Below are 18,532 nucleotides of genomic sequence, written 5' to 3' on the forward strand. Positions count from 1 at the left end.
TTTGAAACTCTTTTTGTAGAATCTGCAAGCGGACATTTTTAGCACTTTGAGGCCTATGGTGGAAAGGAAATAACTTCACATAAAAACTAGACGGAAGCATTCTGAGAAACGTCTTTGGATGTGTGCCTTCATCTCCCAGAGTTAAACGTTTCTTTTGATTGAGCAGTTTTGAACCTCTCTTTTTCTAGAAACTGCAAATGGACATTTGGAGTGCTTAGAGGTCTAATGTGGAAAAGGAAATATCTTCACATAAAAACTAGACAGAAGAATTCTGAGAAACTTCTTTGTGATGTATGTGTTCATCTCACAGATTTGAAACTTTCTTTTGATTGAGCAGTTTGGAGACACTCTTTTTGTAGAATCTGCAAGTGGACATTTCGAGTGCTTTGTGGCCTGTGGTAGAAAACGAAATATCTTCACATAAAATCTAGACAGAAGCAATCTGAGAAACTTCTTTGTGATGTGTGCATTCATCTCCCAGAGTTGAACCTTTCTTTTGTTGGACCAGCTTTAAAATACTCTTTTTGTAGAATCTGCAAGTGGACATTTCGAGCGTCTTGAGTCTATGGTGGAAAATGAAATATCTTCACATAAAAACTAGACAGAAGCATTCTGAGAAACTTGTTTGTGATGTGTTTGTTCATCTCACAGATTTGAACCTTTCCTTTGATTGAGCAGTTTAGAAACACTCTATTTGTAGAATCTGCAAGTGGATATTTGGAGCACGTTGTGGCCTACGGTAGAAAGGGAAATATCTTCACATAAAATCTACACAGAAGCAATCTGAGAAACTTCTTTGGGATGTGTGCATTCATCTCACAGAGTTAAACCTTCCTTTTGATTGAGGAGTTTTGAAACTCTCCTTTTTTAGAATCTGCAAGTGGACATTTGGAGCACTTTGAGGCCTAAGGTGGAAAGGAAATATCTGCACATAAAAACTAGACAGAAGAATTTTGACAAAATTCTTTGTGATGTGTGCTTTCATCTCACAGATTTGAAAATTTCTTTTGATTCAACAGTTTGGAAACACTCTTTTTGTAGAATCTGCAAGTTGACATTTGGAGCACTTTGCAGCCTATGGAAGAAAAGTAAATATCTTCACATAAAATCTAGACAGAAACAATCTGAGAAACTTCTCTGTGACGTGTGCATTCATCTCACAGAGTTAAACATTTCTTTTGATTGAGGAGTTTTGAAACTCTCTTTTTGCAGAATCTGCAAGTGGACATTTGGAGCCCTTTGAGGCCTATGGTGGAAAAGGAAATATCTTCACATAAAAACTAGACAGAAGAATTCTGAGAAACTTCTTTGTGATATGTGTGTTCATCTCACAGAGTTGAACTTTTCTTTTGATTGAGCAGTTTGGAAACACTCTTTTTGTACAAACTGCAAGTGTACATTTGGGGCGCTCTGTGGCCTACAGTAGAAAAGGAAATACCTTCACATAAAATCTAGACAGAAGCAATCTGAGAAAATTCTTTGTGATGTGTGCATTCAACTCACAGAGTTAAACCTTACTTTTTATTGAGCAGTTCTGAAACTCTTTCTGTAGAATCTTCAAGCGGACATTTGGAGTGGTTTGAGGCCTATGGTGGAAAAGTAAATATCTTCACACTAAAACTGGACAGAAGAATTCTGAGAAACTTCTTTGTGATGTGTGTGTTCGTCTCACAGAGTTAAGCCTTTCTTTTGACTGAGCTGTTTGGAAACACTCTTTTTGTAGAATCTGCAAGTAGACATTTGGAGCACTTTGGGGCCTATGGTAGAAAGGGAAATATCTTCCCATCAAATCTAGAGAGAAGCAATCTGAGAAACTTCTTTATGATGTGTGCATTCATCTCATAGAGTTAAACCTTTCTTTTGATTGAGCAGTTTTGAACCTCTCTTTTTGTAGAATCTGCAAGTGGACATTTGGAGCGCTTTGAGGCTTATGGTGGAAAGGGAAATATCTTCACATAAAAATTGGACAGAAGAATTCTGAGAAACTTCTTTGTGATGTGTGCATTCATCTCACAGAGTTAAACTTTTCTTTTTATTGAGCAGTTTGGAAAGCCTCTGTTTGTAGAATCTGCAAGTGGGTATTTGGAACGCTTTGCAGCCTATGGTAGAAAAGGAAATATCTTCACATAAAATCTAGAAAGAAGCAATCTGTGAAACTTCCTTGTGATGTGTACATTCATCTCACAGAGTTAAGCCTTTCTTTTGACTGAGCAGTTTTGAAACTCTCTTTTTGTAGTATCTGCAAGTGGACAATTTGAGCACTTTGAGGCCTCAGCTGGAAAAGGAAATATCTTCATGTAAAACTAGACAGAAGAATTCTGAGAAACTTCACTGTGATATGTGCATTCATCTCACAGAGTTGAACCTTTCTTTTTATTAAGCAGTTTGGAAACACTCTTTTTGTAGAATCTGCAAATGGACATTTGGAGCGCCTTCAGGCCTATGGTGGAAAGGAAATATCTTTACTTAAAAACTAGACAGGAGAATTCTGAGAAAATTCTTTGTGATGTGTGCATTCATCTCACAGACTTGAGCCTTTCTTTTGATTGAGCAGTTTGAAAACACTCTTTTTGTAAAATCTGCAAGTGGACATTTGGAGTGCTTTGCAGCCTTTGGTAGAAAAGGAAATATCTTCACATAAAATCTAGACAGAAGCAATCTGAGAAACTTCTTTGTGATGCGTGCATTCATCTCACAGAGTTCAACATTTCTTTTGATTGAGCAGTTTGGAAACACTCTTTTTGTAGAATCTGCAAGTAGACATTTGGAGCACTTTGTGGCCTGTGGTAGAAAAGGAAATATCTTCACATAAAATCTGCACAGAAGCAACCTGAGAAACTTCTTTGTGATGTGTGCATTCATCTAATAGAGTTAAAACTTTCTCTTGATTGAGCAGTTTTGAAACTCTCTTTTTGTAGAGTCTGCTAATGGACATTTGGAGTGCTTTGAGTCTTATGATTAAAAAGGAAATATCATCACATAAAAACTAGACTAAAGAAATTGGAGAAACTTTTTTTGTGATGCGTGCATTCATCGATCACAGTTGAACCTTTCTTTTGATTGAGCAGTTTGGAAACACTCTTTTTTTAGTATTTGCAAGTGGAAATTTAGAGCGCTTTGCAGCCTATAGTAGAAAGGAAATATCTTCACATAACATCTAGACAGAAGCAATCTGAGAAACTTCTTTGTGATGTGTGCATTCATCTCACAGAGTTAAACTTTCCTTTTGATTGAGGAGTTTTGAAACTCTCCTTTTTTAGAATCTGCAAGTGGACATTTGGAGCGCTTTGAGGCCTAAGGTGGAAAGGAAATATCTGCACATAAAAACTAGACAGAAGAATTCTGACAAACTTCTTTGTGATGTGTGCTTTCATCTCACAGATTTGAAAATTTCTTTTGATTCAACAGTTTGGAAACACTCTTTTTGTAGAATCTGCAAGTTGACAGTTGGAGCACTTTGCAGCCTGTGGAAGAAAAGGAAATATCTTCACATAAAGTCTAGACAGAAACAATCTGAGAAACTTCTCTCTGACATGTGCATTCATCTCACAGAGTTAAACATTTCTTTTGATTGAGGAGTTTTGAAACTCTCTTTTTGCAGAATCTGCAAGTGGACAGTTGGAGCCCTTTGAGGCCTATGGTGGAAAAGGAAATATCTTCACATAAAAACTAGACAGAAGAATTATGAGAAACTTCTTTGTGATACGTGTGTTCATCTCACAGAGTTGAACTTTTCTTTTGATTGAGCAGTTTGGAAACACTCTTTTTGTACAACCTGCAAGTGTACATTTGGTGCACTCTGTGGCCTACAGTAGAAAAGGAAATACCTTCACATAAAACCTAGACAGAAGCAATCTGAGAAACTTCTTTGTGATATGTGTATTCAACTCACAGAGTTAAACCTTTCTTTTGATTGAGCAGTTCTGAAACTCTTTCTGTAGAATCTTCAAGTGGACATTTGGAGCGGTTTGAGGCCTATGGTGGAAAAGTAAATATCTTCACATAAAAACTGGACAGAAGAATTCTGAGAAACTTCTTTGTGATATGTGAATTCGTCTCACAGAGTTGAGCCTTTCTTTTGATTGAGCAGTTTGGAATCACTCTTTTTGTAGAATCTGCAAGTGGACATTTGGAGTGCTTTGCGGCCTGTTGTAGAAAGGGAAATATCTTCATATCACATCTAGACAGAAGCAATCTGAGAAACTTCTTTATGATGTGTGCATTCATCTCATAGAGTTAAACCTTTCTTTTGATTGAGCAGTTTTGAAACTCTCTTTTTGTAGAAACTGCAAGTGGACATTTGGAGCGCTTTGAGGCCTATGGTGGAAAAGGAAATATCTTCACATAAAAACTAGACAGAAGAATTCTGAGAAACTTCTTTGTGATTTGTGCATTCATCTCACAGAGTTAAACTTTTCTTTTTATTGAGCAGTTTGGAAAGCCTCTGTTTGTAGAATCTGCAAGTGGATATTTGGAACGCTTTGCAGCCTATAGTAGAAAAGGAAATATCTTCACATAAAATCTAGAAAGAAGCAATCTGTGAAACTTCTTTGTGATGTGTGCATTCATCTCACAGAGTTAAGCCTTTCTTTTGACTGACCAGTTTTGAAACTCTCTTTTTGTAGTATCTGTAAGTGGACAATCTGAACACTTGGAGGCCTCAGCTGGAAAAGGAAATATCTTCATGTAAAACTAGACAGAAGAATTCTGAGAAACTTCATTGTGATATGTGCGTTCATCTCACAGAGTTGAAGCTTTCTTTTTATTAAGCAGATTGGAAACACGCTTTTTGTAGAATCTGCAACTGGACAGTTAGAGCGATTTGTGGCCTACTGTAGAAAAGGAAACATCTTCACATAAAATCCAGACAGAAGCAATCTGAAAAACTTCTTTGTGATGTGTGCATTCATCTCACAGAGTTAACCCTTCCTTTTGATTGAGGCGTTTTGAAACTCTCTTTTTGTGGAATCTGCAAGTGGACATTTGGAGCGTCTTCAGGCCTATGGTGGAAAGGAAATATCTTCACTTAAAAACTAGACAGAAGAATTCTGAGAAAATTCTTTGTGATGTGTGCATTCATCTCACAGACTTGAGCCTTTCTTTTGATTGAGCAGTTTGAAAACACTCTTTTTGTAAAATCTGCAAGTGGACATTTGGAGTGCTTTGCAGCCTTTGCTAGAAAAGGAAATATCTTCACATAGAATCTAGACAGAAGCAATCTGAGAAACTTCTTTGTGATGCATGCATTCGTCTCACAGAGTTCAACATTTCTTTTGATTGAGCAATTTGGAAACACTCTTTTTGTAGAATCTGCAGGTAGATATTTGGAGCACGTTGCGGCCTGTGGTAGAAAAGGAAATATCTTCACATAAAATCTGCACAGAAGCAACCTGAGAAACTTCTTTGTGATGTGTGCATTCATCTAATAGAGTTAAAACTTCATCTTGATTGAGCAGTTTTGAAACTCTCTTTTTGTAGAATGTGGTAGTGGACATTTGGAGTGCTTTGAGTCTTATGATTAAAAAGGAAATATCATCACACAAAAACTAGACTGAAGAATTTGGAGAAACTTTTTTTGTGATGCGTGCATTCATTGATCAGAGTTGAACATGACTTTTGATTGAGCAGTTTGGAAACACTCTTTTTGTTGAATCTACAAGTGGACATTTGGAGCGCTTTGCAGCCTACGGTAGAAAAGGAAATATCTTCACATAAAATCTAGACAGAAACAATCTGAGAAACTTCCCTGTGATGTGTGCATTCATCTCACAGAGTTCAACTTTTCTTTTGATTGAGCAGTTTGGAAACACTCTTTTTGTAGAAACTGCAAGTGGACATTTGGTGCACTTTGAGGCCTACGGTAGAAAAGGATATATCTTCATATAAAATGTAGACAGAAGCAATCTGAGAAACTTCTTTGCAATGTGTGCATTCATCTCACAGAGTTAAACCTTTCTTTTGATTGAACAGCTTTGAAACTCTTTTTGTACAATCTACAAGAGTACATTTGGAACGCTTCGAGGCCTATGGTGGAAAAGGAAATATCTTCACATAAAAACTAGACAGAAAAATTCTGAGAAATTTCTTTGTGATGTGTGAACTCATGTCACAGAGTTAAACCTTTCTTTTGATTGAGCAGTTTCAAAACTCTTTTTGTAGAATCTGCAAGTGGACATTTTTAGCGCTTTGAGGCCTATGGTGGAAAGGAAATATCTTCACATAAAAACTGGACAGAAGAATTCTGAGAAAGTTCTTTGTGATGTGTGCGTTTGTCTCACAGAGTTGAACCTTTCTTTCAATTGAGCAGTGTGGAAACACTGTTTTTGTAGAACCTGCAAATGGACATTTGGAGTGCTTTGTGGCCTATGGTAGAAAAGGAATTATCTTCACATAAAATCTAGACAGAAGCTATCTGAGAAACTTCTTTGTGACTTGTGCATTCATCTCGTGGAGTTAAACCTTTCTTTTGATTGAGCAGTTTTGAAACTCTCTTTTTGCAGAATCTGCAAGAGTACATTTGGAACGCTTTGAGGCCTATGGTGGAAAATGAAATATCTTCACATAAAAACTAGACAGAATAATTCTGAGAAACTTCTTTGTGATGTGTGCATTCATCTCACAATGTTAAACCTTTCTTTTGATTGAGCAGTTTTGAAACTCTTTTTGTAGAATCTGCACGTGGACATTTTTAGCCTTTGAGGCCTATGGTGGCAAGGAAATATCTTCAGATAAAAACTGGACAGAAGCAATCTGAGAAACTTCTTTGTTATGTGTGCATTCATCTCACAGAGTTGAACCTTTCTTTTGATTGAGCAGTTTGGAAACACTCTTTTTGTAGAATCTGCAAGTGAACATTTGAAGCGCTTTGCAGCCTATGGTAGAAAAGGAATTGTCTTCACATAAAATCTAGAGAGAAGCAAAACTTTCTTTTGATTGAGTAGTTTTGAAACTCTCTTTTCGTAGAAACTGCAAGTGGACATATGGAGCGCTTTGAGGCCTAAGCTCTAAAAGGAAATAACTTCCCATAAAAACTAGACAGAAGAATTCTGAGAAACTTCTTGTGATGTGTGAGTTCATCTCACAGAGTTGAACCTTTCTTTTATTGAGCAGTTTGGAAACTCTCTTTTTGTGGAATCTGCAAGTGGACACTTGGAGCGCTTTGCCGCCTGTGGTAGAAAAGGAAATATATTCACATAAAATCTAGACAGAAGCAATCTGAGAAACTTCTTTGTGATGTGTGCATTCATCTCACAGAGTTAAACTTTTCTTTTGCTTGAGAAATTTAGAAAGCTTCTGTTTGTAGAATCTGCAAGTGGACATTTAGAGCACTTTGCTGCCTATGGTAGAAAAGGAAATATCTTCACATAAAATCTAGACTGAAGCAATCTGAGAAAATTCTTCGTGATGTGTGCATTCATCTGACAGAGTTGAACCTTTCTTTTGATTGAGCAGTTTGGAAACACTCTTTTAGTAGAATCTGCAAGTGGATATTTGGGGCCCTTGGGGTCTGAATGATTGTCCCTCACATAGGATTGGTGAACACTGCTGCTGGGGTCTGAATGTTTGTCCCTCACATAGGATCCCAGAACACTGCTGCTGGGGTCTATATGTATGTCCGTCACGTGGGATTCCAAAACACTGCTGCTGGGTTCTGACTGTTTCTCCCTCTCATAGAATTCCATAGCACTGCGACGAGGTTCTGAATGTTTGTCCGTAACATAGGATTCCAGAACCCCCCGCCTGTTGTTTAAATGTTTGTCCCTCACATTGGATTCCAGAACACTGCTGCTGGATTCTGAATGTTTGTCACTCACAGAGGATTCCAGAACACTGCTACTATTGTCTGAATGTTTGTCCCTCACATAGGATTCTAGAACCCTCCTAAGAGTGTGTGAATGTTTGTTCCTCACATAGATTTCCAGATCACTGCTACGATTGTCTGAATGTTTGTCCTACACTTAGGATTCCAGAACACTGCTATGACAGTCGAATGATTGTCCCTCACACAGAATTCCAGAACACTGCTACGAGGGTCTGAATGATTGTCCCTCACATAGGATTCGAGGACACTGCTGCTGGGGTCTGAATGTTTTTCCCTCACATAGGATCCTAGAACACTGTTGCTGGGGTCTACATGTGTGTCTGTCACATAGGATTCCAAAACACTGCTGCTGGGTTCTGACTGTTTTTCCCTGACATAGAATTCAAGAACACTGCGACGAGGTTCTGAATGTTTGTCCGTAACATAGGATTCCAGAACGCCCCCTCCCCGTAGCTTAAATGTTTGTCCCTCACATTGGATTCCAGAACACTGCTACGATCGTCTGAATGTTTGTCCTTCACATAGGATTCCAAAACATTGCTACGGGGGTCTGAATGTTTGTTCTTCACATAGGATTCCAGAACACTCCTGCTGTGTTCTGAATGTTAGTTCCTCCTATAGGATTCACGAACACTGTCACGAGGTTCTGAATGTTTGTTCCGCACATAGGAATCCAAAACACTCCTGCTGTGTTCCGAGTGTTTGTCCCTCACATGGGATTCCAGAACAATCCTGCCGTGGTCTGAATGTGAGTCCCTCACATAGGTTTCTGGAACACTGCTGCTGGGTTCTGTGTGTTTCTCCCTCACGTAGAATTCCATAACACTGTGAAGAGATTATTAATGGTTGTCCGTAACATAGGATTCCAGAACAATCTCGGTGTTGTTTGAATGTTTTTCCCTTACATAGGTTTCCAGAACACTGCTACGTTTGTCTGAATGTTTGTCCCTCACATAGGATTCCAGAACACTGCTGGGAGGGTCTGAATGTTTTTCCCTCACATGGGATTCCAGAACACTGCTATGATTGTCTGAATGTTTGTCCCTCACTTAGGATTCCAGAACACAGCCACGAGGGTCTGAATGATTGTCCCTCACATGGGATTACAGAACAATCCTGCTGTGTTCTGAATGTTTGCCCCTCACATATAGTTACAGAACACTGCTGCTGGGTTCTGAGTGGTTGTCCATCACATGGGATTCCAGAACACACCTATGAGGGTCTGATTGTTTTTCTCTTACAAAGGATTACAGAACACTGCTGCTGGGGTCTAAAAGTTTCTCCATCACACACTATTCCAGAGCATTGCTATGAGGGTCTGAATGTTTGTCCCTCATTTAGAATTCCACAACACTTCTGCTGGGGTGTGAATGTTTGTCCCTCACACAAAATTCCAGAACACTGCTATGACGATCTGAATGACTGTCCCTCATTTAGGATTCCAAAACACTCCTGTTGTTTTCTGAGTGTTTGTCCCTCACCTAGGATTCCAGAACTATCCTCCTGTTGTCAGAATGTTTGTCTCTCACATAGGGTTTCAGAACACTGCTGCTGGGTTCTGAGTGTTTCTCCCTCACATAGGATTCCAGAACACTGCTACAAGGGTCTGAATGTTTGACCCTCACATAGGATCCCAGAACACTGCTGCTAGGGTCTAGATTTTTGTCCATCACACCGGATTCCAGAACCCTCCTAAGAGGGTCTGAATGTCTGTTCCTCACAGGGAATTCCAGAACACTCCTGCTGTGGTCTCAATGTTTTTCCCTCACACAGTACTACAGAACACTGCTACAGGAGTCAGAATGTTTGTCCCTCACGCAGAATTCCAGAACACTGGCACGAGTGTCTGAATGATTGGCCCTCACATAGGATTCCAGAACACTGTCGCTGGGGTCGTAATGTTTGTCCCTCACATAGGATTCCAGAACACTGCTTTTGGGTTCTGAGTGTTTCTCGCTCACATAGAATTCCAGAACACTGCGATGAGGGTCTAGAATGTTTGTCCATAACATAGGATTCCTGAACAATCCCGCTGTTGTTTGAATGTTTGTCCCTCACATAGGATTACGGAACACTGCTACGATTGTCTGAATGTTTGTCCCTCACATAGCATTCCAGAACACTGCTACGACTGTCTGAACGTTTATTCCTCACAGGGGATTCCAGAACACTCCTGCTATGGCCTGGATGATTGTCCCTCACATAGGATTCCAGAACACTGCTATGAGGGTCTGAAAGTTTGTGCTTGACACAGAATTCCAGAACACTGCTACGAGGGTCTGAATGACTGTCCCTCACATAGGATTCCAAAACACTGCTGCTGGGGTCTACATGTATGTCCGTCACATAGGATTCCAGAACACTGCTATTGGGTTCTGACTGTTTCTCCCTCACATAGAATTCCAGAACATTGTGACGAGCGTCTGAATGTTTGTCCGCAACATAGGATTCCAGAACACTCTCGCTCTTGTTTGTATGTTTGTCCCTCACATAGGATTCCAGAACACTGCTGCTGGTGTCCGAATGTTTGTCCCTCACATATGATTCCAGAACACTGCTTCGATTGTCTGAATGTCGGTCCCTCACATAGGAATCTAAAACGTTGCTATGTGGGTCTGAACGTTTGTTCCTCACATAGAATTCCATAACACTGCTGCTATTGTCTGAATGTTTGTACCTTACATAGGATTCCAGAACTCTGCTTCGAGGATCTGAATGTTTGTTCCTCACATAGGATTTCAGAACCCTGCTGCTGTGGTCTAAATCTTTGTCCATCACATAGGATTCCAGAACACTGCTAGGAGGGTCTGAATGTTTTTCCCACAGTGGGGATTCCAGAACTGTGTGGTCTGAATGTTTGTCCTTCATACAGGATTCCCAAACACTGCTATGAGGGAATGAATGTTTGTCCCTCACAAAGGATTCCAGAAAATTGCTACGATTGTCTCAGTGTTTGCCCCCACATAGGATTCTGGAACACAGCTACGAGGGTTTGATTGTTTGGCCCTCACGTAGGATTCCAAAACATTCCTATGGTTTTCTGAGGGTTTCTCCCTCACATAGGATTGCAGAACAATCCTGCCGTGTTCTGAATGTTTGTCCCTCATACAGAGTTCCAGAACACTGCTGCTTGGTTCTGAATGTTTGTCCCTCACATAGGATTCCAGAACACTGCTTCGAGGGTCTGAATGTTTGTTCCTCACATAGGATTCCAGAACATTGCTGCTGGGGTCTAAATGTTTGTCCCTCACATAGGATTCCAGAACACTGGTATGGGGGTCTGAATGTTGGATCCTCACAGGGGATTCCAGAATACTCCTGCTGTGGTCTGAATGTTTGTCAATCACATGGGATTCCAGAACACTGCTACGAGGGTCTGAATGTTTGTCCCTCACATAGGATACTAAAACACTCCTGCAGTATTCTGAGAGTTCGTTCCTCACATAGAATTCCAGAGCATACCTGCTTTGGCCTGAATCTTTGTCCCTTACATAATTTTCCAGAACACCGCTGCTTGTTTCTGAGAGTTGGTCTCTCAGATAGGATACCAGAACACTGCTACGAGGGTCTCAATGTTTGTCCCTCACATTGCATTCCAGAGCACTGCTGGCGTCTAAATGTTTGTCCATCACATAGGATTTCAGAACACTGTTAGGGGTCTGAATGTCTGTTCCTCACAGGAGATTCCAGAACACTCCTGCTGTGGTCTGAATGATTGTCCCTCACATAGGATTCCAGAACACTGCTATGGGGGTCTGAATGTTTATCCCTCATGAAGAATTCCAGGACACTGCTACGACGATCTGAATGTTTGTCCCTCACATAGGATTCCAAAACACTCCTGCTGTTTTCTGAGTGTATATCCCTCACATCGGAGTCCAGAACAATCCTGCTGTTGTCTGAATGTTTGTCCCTCACATAGGGTTCCTGAATGCTGCTGCTGGTTTCCGAGTGTTTGTCCTTCTCATAGGATTCCAGACAATTCGACGAAGGTCTGAATATTTGTCCCTCACATGGGATTCCAGAACACTGCTGCTGGGGTCTACATGTATGTCCATCATATAGGATTCCAGAAAACTGCTGCTGGGTTCTGAGTGTTCCTCCCTCACGTACAATTCCAGAACACTGCAATGAGCGTCTGAATGTTTGTCCATAACATAGGATTCCAGAACACTCCCGCTGTTGATTCAATGTTTTTCCCTTACATAGGATTCCAGAAAACTGCTAGGATTGTCTGAATGTGTGTCCCTCACATAGGATTCCAGAACACTGCTACGAGGGTCTGAATATTTGTCCTTAACGTAGGATTGCAGAACACTTGTGTTGGGGTCTGAATGTTTGTCCCTCACATAGGATTCCAGAAAACTGCTACGATTGTCTGAATGTGTGTCCCTCACATAGGATTCCAGAACACTGCTACGAGGGTCTGCATATTTGTCCTTAAAGTAGGATTGCAGAACACTGTTATAATTGTCGGAAAGTTTGTCCCTCACATAGGATTCCAGAACACTTCTACGAGGGTCTGAATGTTTGTCCCTCACATAGGATTGCAAAACACTGAAGCTGTGTTCCGAGTGTTTGTCCCTCATATAGGGACCCAGAAAAATGCTGCTGGGTTCTGAGTGTTTGTCCCTCACACAGGATTCCAGAACACTGCTACTAGTGTCTGAATGTTTGTCCCTCACATAACACTCCAGAACACTGCTGCTGGGGTCTCAATGTTTGTCAGTCACACAGGATTCCAGAACACTGCTACGATAGCCTGAATGTTTGTTCTTCAGAGGGGATTCCAGAATACTCCTGCTGTGGTCTGAATGCTTGTTCCTCACACAGGACTCCAGAACACTGCTACGAGGGTCTGAATGATTGTCTCTCACATAGGATTGCAAAATAGTCCAGCTGTCTTCTGAGTGTTTGTCCATCACATAGGATTCCAGAACACTCCTGCTGTGGTCTGAAAGTTTGTCCCTCACACAGAATTCCAGAACACTGATACGAGGTTCTCAATGATTGTCCCTCACACAGTATTCCAGAACACTGCTGCTGGGGTCTGAATGAATATTCCTCACATAGCGTTCCACAGCACTGCTTCTGGGGTCTTCATGTATGTCTGTCACATAGGATTTCAGAACACTGCTGCTGGGTTCTGGGTGTTTCTCCCTCACATAGCATTCTAGAACACTGTGATGAGAGCCTGAATGTTTGTCTGTAACATAGGATTCCAGAACACTCCCACTGTTGTTTGAATGTTTGTCCCTCACATAGGATTCCAGAACACTGCTGCTGGGGTATACATGTGTGTCTGTCACATAGGATTCCAGAGCACTGCTGCTGGGTTCTGAGTCTTTCTCCCTCACATAGAACTCCAGAGCACTGCGACGAGGGTCTGAAAGTTTGTTTGCAATAAAGGATTCCAGAACACTCCCGTTGTTGTTTCAATGTTTGTAACTTACATAGGATTCCAGAATACTTCTGCTGAGGTCTAAATGCTTGTCCGTCACTTAGGATTCCAGAACACTGCTACGAGAGTGTGAATGTTTGTCCCTCACACAGAATTCCAGAACAGTGCTACGATGGTCTGAATGATTGTCCCTCACATGGGACTCCAGAACACTGCTGCTGGGTTCTGAATATTTGTCCCTCACATAGGATTCCAGAACACGGCTGCAGGGGTCTACATGTATGTCCGTCACATGGGATTCCAGAACAATGCTGCAGGATTCTGAGTGTTCCTCCCTCACATAGAATTCCAGAAGACTGCGACGAGGGTCTGAATATTTGTCCGTAACATAGGATTCCAGAAGACTCCTGCTGTTGTTTGAATGTTTGTCCCTCACATAGGATTCCAGAACACTGCTGCTTGAGTCTGAAGGTTTTTTCGTCACACAGGATTCCAGAACCCTGCTACAATTGTCTGAATGTTTGCCACTCCATAGGATTCCAGAACACTGCCACGAGGGTCTGAAAGTTTGTCCCTCACTGTGGATTCCAGAACACTCTGCTGTGGTCTGAATGTTTGTCCCTCACTTAGGATCCAGAACAGTGATACGAGGGTCTGAATGTTCTTCCCTCACTTAGGACTCTAGAACACTGCTACGATTGTCTGAATGTTTGTCCCTCACATAGGATTCCAGAACACTGCTACGATTGTCTGAATGTTTGTCCCTCATATAGGATTCCAGAACACTCCTGTTGTGGTCTGAATGTCTGTCCCTCATATAGGGTTGCAGAACACTGCTGCTAGATTCTCAGTGTTTGTCCCTCACATAGGATTCTGGAACACTGCTACAAGGGTCTGAATATTTGTCACACACACATAGGATTCCAAAACACTGCTGCTGGGGTCTGAATGTTTGTCCCTCACATAGGATTCCAGAACACTGCTGCTGGGGTCTACATGTATGGCCGTCACATGGGGTTCCAGATCCCTGCTGCTGGGTTCTGAATGTATCTCCCTCACATAGAACTCCAGAACACTGCAACAAGAGTCTGAATGTTTCTCCGTAACATAGCATTCCGGAACACTCTCACTGTTGTTTGAACGTTTGTCCCTCACATAGGACTCCAGAACACTGCTACTGGGGTCTGAGTGTTTGTCCCTCACATAGGACTCCAGAACACTGCCACGAGGCTCTGAATGTTTATTCCTTACAGGGGATTCCAGAACACTCCTGTTGTGTTGTGAATATTTGTCCCTCACACAGGAGTCCAGAACACTCCTATGAGGCTCTGAATTTTTGTCCCTCACACAGAATTCCAGAACACCGCTATGAGGGTCTGAATGATTTTCCCTCACATAGCATTCCAGAACACTGCTGCTGGAGTCTGAATGTTTGTCCCTCACATAGGATTCCAGAAAACTGCTGCTGGTTTCTGAGTGCTTCTCCCTCATACAGAATTCCAGAAAACTGTGACGAGGGTCAGAATGTTTGTCCGTAACATAGGATTGCAGAACACTCCCGCTGTTGTTTGAATGTTCATAACTCGTATAGGATTCCAGAACACTGCTGAGAGTGTCTGAATGTTTGTCCCTCACATAGGATTCCAGAACACTCCTGCTGTGGTCTGAATGTTTGTCCCTCACATAGGATTACTGAACACTGCTAAGAGGGTATGAATGTTTGTCCCTCACATAGGATTCCAAAATATTCCTGCTGTGTTCTGAGTGTTTGTCCCTCACATAGGATTCCAGAACAATCCTGCTGTGGTGAGAATGTTCATTCCTCACATAGGGTCCCAAAACCCTCCTGCTGTGTTCTGAATGTTTCTCCCTCACATAGGATTCCAGAACACTGCTATGAGGTTCTCAATGATTGTCCGTCTCATAGGATGCCAAATATTCCTGCTGTATTCTGAGTGTTTCTCCCTCACATAGGATTCCAGAACACTGCTGCTGGGGTCTGAATGTTTGTCCCTCACTTAGGATTCCAGAACACTACCACGATTGTCTGACTGTTTGTTGCTCACATAGGATTCCGGAACACTGCAACGAGGGTCTGAATGTTTGTCCGTCACATAGGATTCCAGAACAATCCTGCTGTGGTCTGTATGTTTGTCCCTCACATAGGATTCCTGAGCACTGCTATGAGGGTCTGAATGTTTGTCCCCCACATAGGATTCCAAAACACTCCTGCTGTGTTCTGAGTGTTTGTCCCTCACATAGGATTCCAGAACAATCCTGCTGTGTTCTGAAGGTTTGTCCCATACATAGGGTTCCAGAACACTGCTGCAGTGTTATGAGTGATTCTCCCTCACATAGAATTCCAGAACACTATGACGAGGGTCTGAATGTTCGTCCATAAAATAGGATTCCATAACACTCTCGATGTTGTTTAAATGTTTGTCCCACACATAGCATTCCAGAACACTGCTACTGGTGTCTGAATGTTTGTCCCACACATAGTATTCCAGAATCTGCTATGATTGTCTGAAGGTTTGTCCCTCACATAGGATTCCAGAACACTGCTAGGTTCTGAATGTTTGTCCCTCACCTAGGATTTCAGAACACTGCTCCTCGAATATAAATATTTATCCTTCACATAGGATTCCAGAACACAGCTATGAGGGTCTGAATGTATGTTTCCCACGTAGGATTCCAAAACACTCCTGCTGTGTTCTGAGTGTTTGTCCCTCACATAGGATTCCAGAACAATCCTGCTGTGTTCTGAAGGTTTGTCCCATACATAGGGTTACAGAGAACTGCTGCAGTGTTATGAGTGATTCTCCCTCACATAGAATTCCAGAACAGTACGACGAGGGTCTGAATGTTCGTCCGTAAAATAGGATTCCGTAACACTCTCGATGTTGTTTAAATGTTTGTCCTGCACATAGCATTCCAGAACACTGCTACTTGTGTCTGAATGTTTGTCCCATACATAGTATTCCAGAATCTGCTATGATTGTCTGAATGTCACTCACCTAGGATTTCAGAACACTGCTCGTCAGATATAAATATTTATCCATCACAGGATTCCAGAACACTGCTAAGAGGTTCTGAATGTTTGTTCTTCACAGTGGATTCCAGAACACTCCTGCTGTGGTCTGAATGTTTGTCCCTCACAAAGGAATCCAGAACAATGCTACGCAGGTCTCAATGTTTGTCCCTAACAAAGAATTCCAGAACACTGCTATGAGTGTCTGAAAGATTGGCCCTCTCATACGTTTCCAGAACTCTGCTGCTGGTGTCTGAATGTTTGTCCCTCACACAGGATTCCAGAACACTGCTACTGGGTTCTGAATTTTGTCCCTCAAACAGAATTCCAGATCACTGCTACGAGGGTCTGAATGATTGTCCCTTACGTAGGATTCCCTAACACTGTTGCTGGTTTCTGAATGTTTGTCCCTCACACAGGATTCCAGAACACTGCTGCAGGGGTTTACATGTATGTCCATCACATAGGATTCCATGACACTGCCACTGGGTTCTGAGTGTTACTCCCTCATGTAGAAATAAAGAACATGGTGACGAGGGTCTGAATGTTTGTCCATAAACAGGATTCCAGAACACTGCTAAGAGGATATTAATGTTTGTCCCTCACATAAGATTCCAAAACACTCCTGCTTTGATCTGAGTGATTGTCCCTCACATACGATTCCAGAACCCTACTGCTGGGTTTTGAGTGTTTCTACCTCACATAGATTTGCAGAAGACTGCAACAGGGGTCTGAATGTTTGTCCGTAACATAGGACTCCAGAACACTCCAGCTGTTGTTAGAATGTTTGTCTCTCACATAGGATTGCAGAACACTTCTTCTTGGGTCTGAACGGTTGTCTCTCACACAGGATTCCAGAACACTAATACGATGGTCTGAATGTTTATCCCTCATGTAGGATTCCAGAACACTGCTGTGAGGGTCTGCATGTTTGTCCCTCAGATAGGATTCCTGAACCATCCTGCAGTGGTCTGAATGTTTGTCCCTCACACTGGATTCCAGAACTCTGCTACAAGGGTCTAAATGTTGTCCCTCCCATAGGATTGCAATACACTAATGCTTTTTTCTGAGTGTTTCTCCCTCACATAGGATTCCAGAACAATCCTGCTGTGGTCTGATTGTTTGTCCCTCACATAGGGTTCCAGAACACTGCTGCTAGGTTCTGAGTGTTTATCCGTCACAGAGCATTCCAGAACACTGCTGCTAGGTACTCATTGTTTCTCCCTCACATAGAATTCCAGAAAACTGTGACTAGGGTCTGAATGTTTGTGCATAACATAGGATTCCAGAACACTCCCGCCCTTGTTTGAATGATTTTCCTTCACATAGGATTCCAGGACGCTGCTAGGAGGGTCTGAATGTTTGTTCCACACAGGGGATTCAAGAACACTCCTGACTTGATCTGAATGTTTGTCCCTCACATAGGATTCCAGAACACTGCTATGAGGTTGTGAAAGTTTGTCCCTCATAAGGAATTCCAGAACACTGCTATGATGCTCTGAATGTTTGTCTCTCACATAGGAATCCAAAACACTCTTGCTGTAGTCTGAGTGTTTGTCCCTCACAAAGGATTCCAGAACAATCCTGCTGTGGTCTGAATGTTTGTCCCTCACATAGGATTCCAGAACACTGCTAAGAGGGTATGAATGTTTGTCCCTCACATAGGATTCCAAAACACTCGTACTGTGTTCTTAGTGTTTCTCCCTCACATAGGATTCCAGAACACCGCTGCTGGAGTCTAAATGTTTGTTCATCACATAGGATTCCAGAACATTGCTATGAGGTTATGAATGTTTGTTCCCCACAGGGGTTTCCAGAACACTCCTGCTTTGGTCTGAATGTTTACCCCTCACACAGGATTCCAGAACACTGCTACAAGGGTTTGAATGTTTCTACCTCACATAGAATTCCAGCACTCTGTGATGAGGTTCCGAATGTTTGTGCATCACATAGAATTCCAGAACACTGCTACGATTGTCTGAATGTTTGCCCATCACATGGGATTCCAGAACACTGGAAGGCAGCCAAGATGGCCGAATAGGAACAGCTCTGGTCTACAGCTCCCAGCGTGAGCGACACAGAAGATGGATGATTTGTGCATTTCCGTCTGAGGTACTGGGTTCATCTCACTAGGAAGTGCCAGCCCTACAGTGGGTGCAGGAGAGTGGGTGCAGTGCACTGTGCAGGAGCTGAAGCAGGGTGAGGCATTGCCTCACTCAGGAAGTGCAAGGGGTCAGGGAGTTCCCTTTCCTAGTCAAAGAAAGGGGTGACAGATGGC

At 42.0% G+C, this 18,532-nt stretch overlaps 1 annotated feature.

Annotated features, from left to right (window-relative positions):
* Window positions 3,983-4,484: an enhancer, noted in NCBI's record as "NANOG hESC enhancer chr9:66854522-66855023 (GRCh37/hg19 assembly coordinates)". NCBI's record gives its function as "activates a minimal SCP1, AML or CMV promoter by ChIP-STARR-seq in naive H9 embryonic stem cells {active_cell/tissue: H9 hESC(naive)}" and the evidence as "EXISTENCE:reporter gene assay evidence [ECO:0000049][PMID:30033119]".

This window comes from Homo sapiens, chromosome 9 (genome assembly GCF_000001405.40).
Source record: "Homo sapiens chromosome 9, GRCh38.p14 Primary Assembly".
In the NCBI taxonomy this organism is placed as follows: domain Eukaryota; kingdom Metazoa; phylum Chordata; class Mammalia; order Primates; family Hominidae; genus Homo; species Homo sapiens.